Source organism: Homo sapiens, chromosome 4, assembly GCF_000001405.40.
Source record: "Homo sapiens chromosome 4, GRCh38.p14 Primary Assembly".
NCBI classification, from domain to species: domain Eukaryota; kingdom Metazoa; phylum Chordata; class Mammalia; order Primates; family Hominidae; genus Homo; species Homo sapiens.
The window spans coordinates 173,370,759-173,384,518 of NC_000004.12; the positions used below are offsets into that span (position 1 = coordinate 173,370,759).

Here is a 13,760-nt window from a genome sequence, read left to right on the forward strand (position 1 = left end):
AGTTCCTCCGTCCCTCATGGCGCGGGGTCAGGGCGGAGCTCAGGTTGACTCTGCAGCAGAGAACTACAATTCCCATGGGGCCGCGCGGCAGAAAGAAAGGGGCGGGACGGGAGGGGGCGCGTCGCGCTTGCGCAGGTCCCGGGGCCGGAGGGAGGCGGAGGCGTAGCGGTCCAACTGCTGAAGTCCCCATGTGACAGTGAGCGGGGTCCCCGCTCCAGGAGACGCTCGAGTCTGCGTCCCGGCCCTCAGCACTGTCCACTGTTTCGGTGCCAGCAGAGACCAGCAGGCCCGGGACAGTTGGTGTTTGGCCGTGCCGCTGTCTAACTTGGTGTGCAGAGTGAATTGCCGCTGCCGGAGCGGAGAGAGGCGGAGCGGCCAGGAGAGAGGGGATTTCTGTCAGCGCCGGCCTCGGGAGCTCGGAGACATGAACGGCTTCACGCCTGACGAGATGAGCCGCGGCGGGGATGCGGCCGCCGCAGTGGCCGCAGTGGTCGCTGCCGCGGCCGCCGCCGCCTCGGCGGGGAACGGGACCGGCGCGGGCACCGGGGCTGAGGTGCCGGGCGCGGGGGCGGTCTCAGCGGCTGGGCCCCCGGGGGCGGCCGGGCCGGGCCCCGGGCAACTGTGCTGCCTGCGGGAGGATGGTGAGCGGTGCGGCCGGGCGGCAGGCAACGCCAGCTTCAGCAAGAGGATCCAGAAGAGCATCTCCCAGAAGAAGGTGAAGATCGAGCTGGATAAGAGCGTAAGTAAACCGCGGGACCGCCCTGCCCTCCCGCCCCTCGGTGGGGCCCCAGGAGCCGGGCAAAGGCACGGGTTGTCGGCGGGGTCCCCCAGACAACCGCACTGGCTGCAGTGCGGTCTCGTGGAGTCTGTGTTTGGAAGCAAATAACAAAGTCGCTGCAACTCCTACCGCCACCCCAACACACACACCACACACAGGCTGTCGTTCCCCTCTTCTTTCCCACCCTGGCCCCCAACCTCCCGCTGCCTGCGTCTCTCCCGCGCAGTCTTCCCTCTTCCTTCTCCTCTGCGACCGGGACACGAAACAAAGGGGACCGGCGCACTGAGGGCCCAGAGTAGTTTTCTTGCAGCCCGGCAGCTCTTCTGGAATGGAGGCGCCTTTGTTTTGCTGCCCAAGCTGGTGTTTGGCCCCAGGCGGTACTAAATCCCGTCGTCTAGGAGAAAGCGGAGGACCTTCACGAACAAGGAAGATCCTGTTCTTTTCTGTGTTCCGTCTCCTCCGGAGCGGAGTGAGAGGGAAGCCGAGCTCACCCGCCGCCTGGCAGTGAGCCGGGGTTGTAAACGGCGTTTGCGCTGTCAGCTCCGAGGGCAGCTACTCCGATGGTGGGGAGCACGTAGCCTCTGCGGTTTTGCCATCCCCTTGGCAGCCATCAGGATTTTTTGCACGTCTTTTCGTTTGACCATCTATGAGGTTTTTAGAAACAGCCGTTGCTACTTTTGGGAGATCTGGCTAGCGGTAAATGAATAACATGGTATCGAGAACCTACCACAAGTCCTGCATATTTTTATCTTGCGCTTGGCTTAGAAGTAAATGTAAAAGCCTGTTAGCTCAGTCCGTGTTTGTTTCAAATGCTAGTCTACAGCTCGCAGGAGTATATGTAATTAAAGTTTTTGAAAAGTTTATTTGTGACACTTTTTGCCCGTTTAAACAGTTTTCAGTGTTATCCATGAGAAACTCTTCAGGTGAACTTGCATAATTTCAGATTGTTTTGGAAAAATGTGTTATAGATAAATACATTGATTTAATATTCAGAAAAATGTATAACTGAAATTTAAATATAGTTTTGAAGTCGATGGCTCATTTGTGAAAACGAATGGTTTTGTATCTGGACTATAATTTGGGTATTCAGTTAGAAAGACTGGAAAGCATACATTATATTACTAAAATATGCTGTTCTTTTAAGTAGAGAAAGTACTGTCAAGTAGCAAAACTGTGAGCAACATCATCTTTCCCCTCATCAGTTAAAAATTCAACATGAACTAATTCAGGTCATCCTTACTGCTATCTGTTTGTTTATTTATTTAAGACAAAGTCTCACTCTGTTGCCCAGGCTGGAGTGCAGTGGCGCGATCTCGGCTCACTGCAACCTCCAACCACCAGGTTCAAGTGATTCTCCTGCCATAGCCTCCTGAGTAGCTGGGATTACAGGCTACTGCCACCATGCCCGCCTAATTTTTTGTATTTTTAGTAGAGACGGGATTTCACTATGTTGGCCAGGCTTGTGTGGAACTCCTGAGCTCAAGTGATCCACCCGCCTTGGCCTCCCAAAGTGCTGGGATTACAGGCGTGAACCACCGCGCCCAGCCCCTCACTGCAATTTGATGACAAAACCCAGAGGGTTGGAATTTCTCATTCTCCTCTCCCTCCCTCCCTTACCCCCTTCCCCAGATGGAACCAACCCCTCCTTCCCCATCCACCATCCTTTTAACAGTATTCCAGACATCTTATGTTTTAGCGTATAGGATTTAAACGTATAAATATTCCATTATCTTAACAATGGCCCATCTTGGCTGTCTTTATTTTTAAGAACTCACTGTGGCATATGTGTTTTACTAATACATAGACACATTTTACTGTAATCATAAGCAGTGTGTAAAACTTTTCTGTTTCAGGCAAGGCATCTTTACATATGTGATTATCATAAAAACTTAATTCAGAGTGTTCGAAACAGAAGAAAGAGAAAAGGGAGTGATGATGATGGAGGTGATTCACCTGTTCAAGATATTGATACCCCAGAGGTAGATGGAAGTTTTTTATGCTTAATGTAAATCCTAAGTAGTGCATTCTGAAGCCTTTATAAAAAGATATGAACAATCTTTTAAGTGTTTAAAACATTTGAGAAATCTGAAAATGAAAGCAAAATTAAATATAGCCAGTTGACATGCATTTACACAGTTTGAATTGTTACATTTTAGATTGACAATTTTTGCAGCTCTGTTGTCACATAACTTACTCTTTTTTTGACCTCAGTTTATATTATTTATCCCCAAAAGATTAAATTCTTTAATAATTTATGTTGGATTATATAAATTTTTTAAATTTTTTTTGATTTTGGAAGTAAATTTTATTGTGCTGAAGTTAAAATGTTTGTTATTATACATATCAATGATAAATTTTCAACAAATTGTATGAACTCATTTATACATGTTAATTTTTTCTAGGTTGATTTATACCAATTACAAGTAAATACACTTAGGAGATACAAAAGACACTTCAAGCTACCAACCAGACCAGGACTTAATAAAGCACAACTTGTTGAGGTATATATGAGTTTTAAACTATTTGAACTATCTGCACAACCGAGAGGTTATTAAGTGCTAATGGAAGTTTTAATGTAGTGTATGTAACAGTACATTTTAATTAGAAAGAACAAAGTTAAAAAATCTGTTGTGGAAGAATCTAGTTGTGTAGAAATGTTTGTCTGCCACTTAGGAAATTCCTTTTTGTAATGACTGCTTAGTAGATTGTGTACAGCACCTTCTGATACTGGCTTTCAAAATGTGTTGATTGTTTTTTGAGACAGAATCTCACTCTGTCACCCAGGCTGGAGTGCAGTGGCATGATCTTGGCTCATTGAAACCTCTACCTACCAGGTTCAAGCAATTCTCCAGCCTCAGCCTCCCAAGTACCTGGGACTTCAGGTGTGCACCACCACACCAGGCTAATTTTTGTATAATATTTTTAGTAGAGATAGGGTTTCACCATGTTGGCCAGACTTGTTTCAAACTCCTGACTTCAAGTGATCTGCCCACCTCAGCCTACCAGAGTGCTGGGATTACCAGTGTGAGCCACCGTGCCTGGCCCTCAAAATGTTGAATGAGAGTTTTTTTAATCCTCACTTTAGAAATCTATTAATTTTAAAACTCCGTTTAACCAGTAAACATTTGAGCACCTAATTGAGGCATAATAAAATTAATTAACAAGCTTTAATGTCCTTATTAGAATTTATATTTTAAAGTGGTGGAATAGGCCTACAAATCAGACCCTAAACAGTATTTTTATAATTTGCTGACTTAACTATTTCAAAATTTGTCCTTGTTGATGTTTGTTTTATTAGAGACATCCATGTTTTTTTCACATCTAGAAGAGGCAAAAGCTTTTCTTTTACCCAAGCTTTTACTTGTAGTTTGCTTTGATAGAGGACTTCTAGTCAGTCACTGAGTTGTGAAAAGTTAACGGAGCATGCATATGTTTTCAGGATATAATAGAACCAAGAAATCTGTGCATCTTATTAAGATGTTTATAGATTTATATATATATATTTTAATCATATTTAAAATAAAAATTTTTACTTGCAGCTACTGAGGAGGATTGATTAAGCCTAGGAGTTTGAGTCACCATGGGCAACATAGCAACACTCCATCTCTAAAAAAAGAAAATTTGGCCTACTAGACAAAATAGAAGTGTAGAAATATAAATCAGTTTTCTCATATTCTTTGCATGGATTTAGTAGTTACCCAACATTTTCTAAAATGTGCCTATTGAATAAAATGAAATATGAATAGAAGTTACATTTATTTGGCAGAATGCTTTTTAACATTGTTAAAATCTAATATATTAACTATTTAGCTAAAATTTTTTATCCTTGGTTGGGCAACACAGATCTAATTAATTTTTCTTTAATTTTGATTTAAAAGATCAAGTTCTTTTGGGGTTGTACAATACATTAATGTAACATAAATATAGTTATTGCCCACCATGATGAAATATTTCAATAGGTACTAATGGAGTGAAGGCACCCCTGTTTTGGGACAAATGAGAACCAAAGAACTGATTATTTTAAATGTTATATTTAGGTATAAATTAAACCTGTAATTTTTGATAAACTGACCTTCTAAGAACAGTTATATTATTTCCAGAGCTATTTTCTTTTTTATACATAAGAGATAGCCATGAGTGTTATATTTTACTTAATCAGAAATGCAGATATTAGCAAGTTAAGGAATGTGCAGATGTAGTACATATATTTTAAGAGAGGGGTCCCCAACCCCAGGGCCATGGACTGGTACTGGTTGGTGGCCTGTTAGGAACGGGTCCGCAGAGCAGGAGGTGAGCACCAGCTAGCAAGCATTACTGCCTGAGCTCCGCCTCCTGTCAGATCAGCCACAGAATTAGATTCTCAGAGGAGTCCAAACCCTCTTGTGAAGTGCACATGTGAGGGATCTAGATTGTATGCTTGTTATAAGAATCTAATGCCTGATGATCTGAGGTGGAACAATTTCATACCAAAACCAACTCCGCCACCCTCAATCTGTGCAAAAATTGCCTTCCGTGAAATCTATCTCTGGTGCCAAAAAGGTTGGGGACCACTGTTTTAAGGGAATCCAGGGTTGTATGACTAAGTCTTAAGTCTCTTAATTATTGTGTGGATGAACTTTTTTCTTAAGAAATTTTATTTTCTGGAATCTAAATATGCATGTCAGCACCCCAGGTAAGTCTATTATTCTTCTATTAGTAATTGTAGTATGCATGTTATGTTAGCACAATGAAAAAGCAAGGAAGCAGGTAAACATCCTTCATTGAACATCCCTCTTTCTCCTCTCATTTCCATTCATAATTTTTATTCAGAAAAATTTTCAAGGAACCTTAACCAAAGAATGCTACCAAGGTGTGAATGAATGAATATAATTTGCAGCAAACAATTTATATGTTATTGTTGGTTTCTCTACTAGCAAAAGTTTTCAACTTCATACTTCTTTTTCTATCAGTAGAGTCTAAACCATTGCAGGTTTAATGATGCATGTGATCTCTTACGTCTGTTTTATCTCATTTAAAGTTTAAAAGTAAAATCATTTATTCCCTATTCTAGATTCTAATTATAAAATTTATTATTTTTATTTTATTTATTTATCTTTTTTTGAGACAGAGTCTTGCTCTGTTGCCCAGGCTGAAGTCCAGTGGCATGATCTCAGCTCACTGCAACCTCCACCTTCTGGGTTCAAGCAATCCTCCTGTCTAAGCCTTCTGAGTAGCTAGGATTACAGGTGTACACCACCAGGCCTATCTAATTTTTGTATTTTTTTTGGTAGAGATGGGGTTTCGTCATGTTGCTCAGGCTGGTCTCAAACTCCTGGGCTCAAGTGATCCACCCACCTCTGCCTCCCAAAGTGCTGGGATTACAGGCATGAGCCACCACGCCTGGCCCAATTATAAAATTTAAAATAAATAAAAGGAAAATATATTTTCTAATCAATGTATATTAAATTGAGTGGGTCAAAGGGTCCTTTGAAATCACACTATCTCTTGTTCGTAACATTTTATTCTTGAATGCTTTCTGTCTTGTTGATATTTTGTTAAATATAATTTTTAAAGGAAATAGCCCTTATCACATAGCACTTTTTCTTTTGATGAAACCGTATTTTTTACGTAGTTTATGAAACCTGTTATATCTAAAATTTAATTTCCTTAATTTTTCTTTTCTTTGTAGATAGTTGGTTGCCACTTTAGGTCTATTCCAGTGAATGAAAAAGACACCTTAACATATTTCATCTACTCAGTGAAGAATGACAAGAACAAATCAGATCTCAAGGTTGATAGTGGTGTTCACTAGGAGACGTGGAATTGAGACTAATAACTTGGATGTTAACACTGTTTACTGTTTTTTCACATGTAGAAATGTTCTTTGTGTATTTTTTCTACAGAGGATTTTCTCTGATTTTATTTTCTTTGTTTCTGACTCTAATAATTAGTTGGAAACTCATATAAAATGAGCTTTCCTAAATTAAATCTATTTTAAATAAAGGTTATTACTATTATAGTTGCTTCAGTGTATTTATTTTGTGAAACTTGATTTTTCTTTTAAACTGACTAAGAGATCAGTATTGAGATTTTAATGTAAAGTCCTTCATTTTGTAATCCTTTTTTTTTTTTTTTTTTAAACTTCCAAGAAATTAACAGGGTAAGGAGAAGTAACAAATGTAGCACATTTGCATTCTCTGGGACAATCTGACTTGGAAGTGAAGATAATCTAAATAGCATTATTTTTTAAAGTGCTTTATAGGGCTAGCAAATTTGAAAAATAAACTTCTCTTGGAATGCAACTTCTTTTTTATTTCCTTTTTTTTGTTATTATTACTTGATGAAGTACTAGGAAGAACAAATGGTTTAATTTATATACCCACCTCCTTCCAAAGAAGACTTAATGTGCCAGCAAAGATAAACACAATGCTGAAAGTTGAAATAAGAGTATAAAATTAAATAGCTGTTTTTCAAAATTTTGTCTTCGAGAAAAGATATTTATGTGGCATGAATATAGAAAGTACCTCTGCTATGCCCCTTAATTTTTAGTGATGTCCTGTACTGTTTACATTGCAAATTGTAACTAATAAGTTGGAGAGGTCTAGATATCTATCCAGATCTTCATTTAAATTTTGGTTATATATGGCTCTGACTTGATTTATATCTCCTTTTTATGTTTCATTCTCTGTCAGTTTTCTATCAAACATTCTAAATCTCTGCTTTTCTTGAGATTATATTGTTTAGCTAAATTCTTATAATTACAAATCAAATTTATAGCTTGTGACATAAAAAAACGAGCTTCAGCAAACTGTTCTGAGATAAAGCTGCAGATTTTAGGCTGGAAATGGATGAGACCATTAATGTAGCTCATGATTTCTCAAAGTTGACATTTGGACTTGTTAATTCTTTTTTTGTGTGAGGCCGTTCAGTCTATTGGAGGATTAGCAACATCCCTAAGTCCACTCAGTAGGTGCCAGTAGCTCCCCCAAGGTGTGACAACCAAAAGTTCCTCTAGACACTGCCAAACATACTTTGAGGGTCAAAAATCACAGCTAGTTGAGAACCACTGATGCAACTAAAGTACTACATCTAAAGTACTAGTTCATTAGTAGGTGACTGTGCATATTTTCAAGTGTTCTTAATGTATTGACAGCTAGAAAATATAATGAAAAATAAAGCAACTGGTCGTTGGTTTTGCTATGACCATTTAAAGATTTACTTGCTACTTTATTGACAAGCAGAGTCTGTGATAATTGCTATTATAGAAACTTCTCATTTCCGACATTCTGGAAATCTGTGAGAAGATTTCTTATAGAAACACATTTTGAGGCCGGGTACAGTGGCTCACACCTGTAATCCCAGCACTTTAGGAGACCAAGGTGGGCAGATCGCTTGAGCCCAGGCATTCAAGGCCACTGTTGGCAGAATGGCGAAACCCTATCTCCACAAAAAAATACAAAAATTAGATAGGCGTGGTGGCATGCATCTATAGTCCCAGCTACTTGGGAGGCTGAGGTGGGAAAATCACTTGAGCCTGGGAGACGGGCTGCAGTGAGCCACGATTGCAGCACCGCACTCCAGCCTGGGCGTTGGAGTGAGACCCTGACTCAAAAAACAAAAGCAAAAACAAAACAGAAAACAAAACAAGACCCATATTCTGTTCTTGTGAAAAAAAAAAACAACTTGAAATTATTTGCTGACATAAAAGTATGAACATAACCTTTGACTGGCAATGTTTATTTCATATAATTATTTGTATAATAAAATGTAGTTTTATAAAATATGAATGAAGAGTTCTGGATGGTAGTTATTAAATGAAATCAAATCCTTGTTAAAACAATTTAAAATATGAAAAATCAGTTCTTGTAAGTTGAGAACTTCCAGAACCTCACCAAAGCTGAGTAACTCAAGAAGCTGCAATGTAAAAGTCAGTTTTATGTGAAAATTTCAGTTACCATTGGATTTTTTAAATGATGGATTCATTAGAAACTATTTTTACTTATCTATATCTGAACAAAAAATGAATGGAAACTCATTTCTGTAAGGGTATAGGTTACTTTTGATGTTAGAGCATTAAGAGAAGAATCTAAATTTAAATGCCACTAGAAGTAGGAGAAAAAGCATACTGAATGGATAGCAGGGGCTCAAAAAATAAGTTAGTTATTTGATTACTAGCTTCAAAAGAATAATTTTGGGAAAGGCCTAAAAATTAATGCCTGAAATACATGTCTTTACAAAAAATAAATTCTATGTTTTTCTACATGAAGTCTTAAAATTAAGAAACATAATAAAATATACAATTAATCATTTTAAAGTATACAATATGGTGGTATTCAATGTATTTGCAATACTGTATAACCAGCAGCTCTAATTTCAAAACTTTCTTGTCACCCAACAAAAACAGCCATACATAGTCACTCCGCCTTCTTCCCTCTCCCTATTCCCTGGTAACCTCCATTCTGCTTTTTATCTCTATGGATTTGCCTATTCTGGATATATTATAAGGGAATCATACAATGAAGTACTGCAAATTGGATGAACCTTGAAAACATGCCAAAAAGCATAATGCTAAAAAAGCATGTTTTCAAGGTTCATCCAAGTTGCAGTACTTCCTTTTTCAGGCTGAATAGTATTCCATTGTATCTATTGAACACAGTTTATTTATCCATTTATTTGTTGATGAACATTGGGTTTCTACCTTTGGCTATTATGAATAATGCTGCTGTAAACATTCATGTACGAGTTTTTCTGTGAACATATGTTTTCATTTCTCTTGGGTGTATACCTAGCAGTAGAACTGCTGGTACGTAAATAATTCTGTACTTAACTTTTTGAGGAACTTCCAATCTTTTCCAAGTTGCTATACTCTTTTACATTTCTACCAGCAATGTATAAAGGCTTCTATTCAATTCACTAACACTTGTATTTCATTAAAAAAAAAATTAAAGCCATCCTACTGGGTGTGAAGTGGTATCTCATTGTGGATTTTATTTATATTTCCTTAATGATCAATTTTGTTGAATATCTTTTCATGTGCTCTTGGCCACTTATATATCTTCTTTGGAGAAGTGTTTATTCAAGTCCTTTTTATTCTTTTTTTTTAGTTGGGTTGTTTTTTGTTGTTGAAATGTAGGACTGTTTATTTATTGTGAGTATTAAACCCTTATAAGATACATGATTTGTAAATATTTTCTCTCATTCTGTAAGTTGCCTTTTCACAGTACTGATAATGTCCTTTGATGCACAAAAGTTTAAATTTTTACATAGTCCAATTTATCTATTTTTTCCTTTGTTGCTCATATTTTTGGTGTCAAAAGAATCCATTGCCAAAACCAACATCATAAACATTAATGTATATGTTTTCTAGGAGTTCTACAGTTTTAACTCCTAAATTTAGATTGTTGAACTGTTGTGAATCAATTTTTATACATGAATGAGGTAGGGGTCCAACTTCATTCTTTTGCATGTGATTAGCCACTTGTCCAGTGTGATTTGTTGAAGAAACTATTTTTTCCCAACTGAATAGTCTTGACCCTCTTGAAATCAGTTGGCCATAGATGTTTATTTCTGCACTCTCAATTCTATTCCATGATCTATGTATTTATTCTTATGCCAATACTATACTCTTGACTACTGTAGACTTGTAATAAGTTTTGAAATCAGGAAGTAGGAGTCCTTCTACTTTGTTTTTCTTTTTCAGTATTGTTTTGGCTGTTCAGAGCCCCTTGCTGTTCCATATGAATTTGAAGATTGGTTTTTTTCATTTTTTGCCCAAAAGGCTATTAGAATTTTGGTGGAGATTGCATTGAATCTATGGACCATTTTCAGATTGCCAGCTTAACAATATTAAGCATTCCAATCCATGATTGTGGGATATCTTTCCATTTTTTTAGGTCTTCTTTAATTTCTGCAGTGTTTTATAGTTTCCAGTGTACAAGTCTTTCACCTCTTGGTTAAATTTATGTTTATGTATTTTCTTCTTTTTGACACTATTATAATTGTTTTCTTAAATTCTTTTTTGAATCATTCATTAGAGGTGTGTGCTGATGCTGCCACTGTGCTGAATTGATCAGCTCTAGTAATTTTTTTTGTGTGTGTGTGGATTCCATGGGATTTTTCTATATATAGAATCATGTTATCTGCAAACAAAAATGGTTTTACTTCTTCCTTCCCAATTTGGATGCCTTTTATTTCTTTTCCTTGCCAAATTGCCCTGGCTACGATTTCCAGTACAATGTTAAACAGTAGTGGTGAAAGCAGGAATTGTTGTCTTGTTCCTTTTCTCAGGAGGAAAACTTTCAGTCTGACCATTCAGTGTGATGTTAGCTGTGGGTTTTCATAAATGTTCTTTGTCATGTTAAGGAAGTCCTCTTCTGTTGCTAATTTGCTAAATGTTTTTTTATCATGAAAGGGTGTTGAATTTAGTCAAATACTTTTAGTATTGAGATGATTTTTTTTTCCTTAGTAGTATTGAGATGACTTTTTTTTTTTTTAGTGTATATTACATTGACCTTCTTATGTTGAACCACCCTCGCATTTCTGGGATAAATCCCACTTGGTCATAGTGCATAATTTTTTTAATGTTCTGTGGGATTTGGCTTGTTAATATTTTGTTGACGGTGTTTGCATCTATACTCATAAGGGATATTGGTCTATATTTTTCTTATGGTATCTTTATCTGACTTTGGTATCAGGATAATGCTGGCCTCATAGAACGTGTTAGGAAGTATTCTTTCCTCTTCTATTTTTGGAGATTTTTGAGTAAGAATGATATTAATTCATCTTTAAATGTTTGACAGAACTTATGGGTGAACCTATATGGTCTAGGCTATTTCTTCGATGGAAGAGTTTTGACGGATTTAATCTTTTTACTTATATAGGTCTTTTTGTTATATATAGGTCTGTTGAGACTTTGTGTTTCTTTTAAGTTATTTTTGGTAAGTCATGGAATTTGTCTATTTCACCTAGATTATCTAACTTGTTGTCATACGAATTGTTCCTATAATTCTCTTATAATACTTTTAATTTCTGTAAGGTCAGCAGTAATATCCCTACCTTTATTTCTGATTCTACTTATTTATGTCTTCTCTCTTTTTTCTTAGTAGTCTAGCTAAGGATTTATCAATTTTGTTGGTATTTTCTTTGATCTCATGGATTATATTTTTTTCTCTATTTCATTTTTCTCTTTTCGGATCTTCATTATCTTCTGCTGGCTTTGGATTTAGTTTGCTCTTCTTTGTCTGTTTTCTTAATGTGTAAATTTAGGTTGATTTGATATTTTTCTTTTTTAATGCAGGCATTTACAGCTGTAAATTTTTCTCTGAATACAGTTTTTCCTGCATTTTGTAAGTTTTGGAATGTTTGTTTTTGTTTTCAGTCATCTTAAATTATTATCTAATTTCTCTAGTGATTTATTCTTTAAACCACTAAAGAAAATTCACAAATACCTGGAACTAAGCAATATACTTGTTGTGAAGCAATATACTTTTTGTGAACAAGTATATTGCTTAGTTCCAGGTGTTTGTGAATTTTCTAGTTTTCCTTCTGTATTGATTACTCATTTTATTGTGGTTCAAAAAGATAGTATGTATCACCTTAGTCTTTTTAAGCTTATAGATAATTGTTTTATGGAAGAACATATAGTCTATCCTGAAGAATGTCCCATGTGTACTTGAGAAGACTGTATTCTGCTATTGTTGAGTGGAATGTTCTGTACGTGTCTCTGGGGTCTAGTTGGTTTTGTAGTATTGTTCAAGCCTCCTACTTCCTTATTGGTTTTCTTTCTACTTGTCTATCAATTGTGGAAAGTGAGGCATTAAGGTCTCCAACTATTATTGTAGAACTGTATATTTCTCCCTTCAGTTTTCTAAAGGTTTGTTTTATATATTTTCTGGCTGTCATATGGTGCATATATGTTTATAATTGTTATATCTTTTTGATAAATTGAAACTTAACAACATAAAATGTCCATCTTTGCTCTTGTAACATGTTTTTACTTAACATCTAATTTGTCTGTTATTAGTATAGCCATCCCAGCTTTTTTTTGTTTATAATTTGCACATATTTACATAACGTTTTAATAGTAAAATGCAGATTATGATATCTAAGCAAGTGATGGTGGTTCAAAATAAATTTTTGTCATGTTATTGTTTATTCATTTAGTGGAGTTATTTTTAAAATGTCAAGCAAGGTTTTTCTTATAAGCTAAAATAATAGATGCAGGAAAGCTAATATTCAGAGGAAAATTTGCTGTTTTTATACTTATATGTATATTTTTAAGGGTTAATATTGCTTACTATAGAATTTATTCCTTTGTGATTATGAATTCCTTGCATTTCTTTCTAGCTAAGAGTTGATGCTTGCTGTACACTTGAGTTTATTGTGTGTATCTTGTCCTAGTTGCATTAATAGTCTACACAGTCAACTATAGTTCTCAAATAATAGTCATATTAATTGCTACCAGATTATTACATATATGAATATATATTTTATATATAGTATATATATGTATTTATGTATATATACTTTAATGATACTAAATGTAGATATCAAGTCAGCTTTTTATACATTATATCCAATGGACTTTTCATTTGACTTCTTAACCTCTGAAAATGTAGATCACATAAACTCTTGAAAATATACTATGGCTTTTAAAGTTCTTAGAATATATCAGGTAAGTATATTCTACACATTTTTCTCTAGATATACCACCATACAAAGATGAGCATTTTATGGTGATACCATTGCATAGAAGTAAATTTAGTATCAATTTACTTTAGTTTTCTAATATCAGTTTCTCTTCAAATTTTTGAGAGAAAAGTTTAGGCTTAGACTGTCAATGCAAGATTGATTTAGAAATACATGAATTTGATTTTTTTCCTTTTGGGAAAATTATTTTGAAGCCTGTAGTGCTTTACTTATAGAGAGTTTTATATTTTAAAAACACCTGCTATAATATTTTACAAAAAATGATTTATTATGGAAATAACTTACATGTACCTTT

At 36.2% G+C, this 13,760-nt stretch overlaps 1 protein-coding gene across 1 annotated transcript, besides 5 other annotated features; it reads left to right on the forward strand.

The window, feature by feature from the left end:
* Positions 57 to 226: a silencer, noted in NCBI's record as "silent region_15812". NCBI's record gives its function as "represses an Ori minimal core promoter by ATAC-STARR-seq in GM12878 lymphoblastoid cells {active_cell/tissue: GM12878}" and the evidence as "EXISTENCE:reporter gene assay evidence [ECO:0000049][PMID:35858748]".
* Positions 196 to 6,774, forward strand: SAP30 (Sin3A associated protein 30). The gene is made up of 4 exons (NM_003864.4): positions 196 to 739; positions 2,632 to 2,757; positions 3,181 to 3,279; positions 6,447 to 6,774. The coding sequence occupies exons 1-4, from the start codon at positions 425 to 427 to the stop codon at positions 6,567 to 6,569; spliced, it is 663 nt and encodes a 220-aa protein (NP_003855.1). The 5' UTR covers positions 196 to 424; the 3' UTR covers positions 6,570 to 6,774.
* Positions 507 to 886: a silencer, noted in NCBI's record as "silent region_15813". NCBI's record gives its function as "represses an Ori minimal core promoter by ATAC-STARR-seq in GM12878 lymphoblastoid cells {active_cell/tissue: GM12878}" and the evidence as "EXISTENCE:reporter gene assay evidence [ECO:0000049][PMID:35858748]".
* Positions 507 to 1,306: a biological region, named in NCBI's record as "H3K27ac hESC enhancer GRCh37_chr4:174292649-174293212".
* Positions 740 to 1,303: an enhancer, noted in NCBI's record as "H3K27ac hESC enhancer chr4:174292649-174293212 (GRCh37/hg19 assembly coordinates)". NCBI's record gives its function as "activates a minimal SCP1, AML or CMV promoter by ChIP-STARR-seq in primed H9 embryonic stem cells {active_cell/tissue: H9 hESC(primed)}" and the evidence as "EXISTENCE:reporter gene assay evidence [ECO:0000049][PMID:30033119]".
* Positions 1,007 to 1,306: an enhancer, noted in NCBI's record as "active region_22159". NCBI's record gives its function as "activates an Ori minimal core promoter by ATAC-STARR-seq in GM12878 lymphoblastoid cells {active_cell/tissue: GM12878}" and the evidence as "EXISTENCE:reporter gene assay evidence [ECO:0000049][PMID:35858748]".
* Positions 6,775 to 13,760: the final 6,986 nt, after the last annotated feature.

What these genes read in the sequence shown, in the direction of transcription:
- SAP30 (NM_003864.4), top strand. Translation starts at nt 425, where the DNA reads ATGAACGGCTTCACGCCTGACGAGATGAGCCGCGGCGGGGATGCGGCC. An exon ending in AGATCGAGCTGGATAAGAGC is followed by an intron (nt 740 to 2,631) that starts GTAAGTAAACCG and finishes TTTCTGTTTCAG; the next exon opens with GCAAGGCATCTTTACATATG. An exon ending in AAGATATTGATACCCCAGAG is followed by an intron (nt 2,758 to 3,180) that starts GTAGATGGAAGT and finishes AATTTTTTCTAG; the next exon opens with GTTGATTTATACCAATTACA.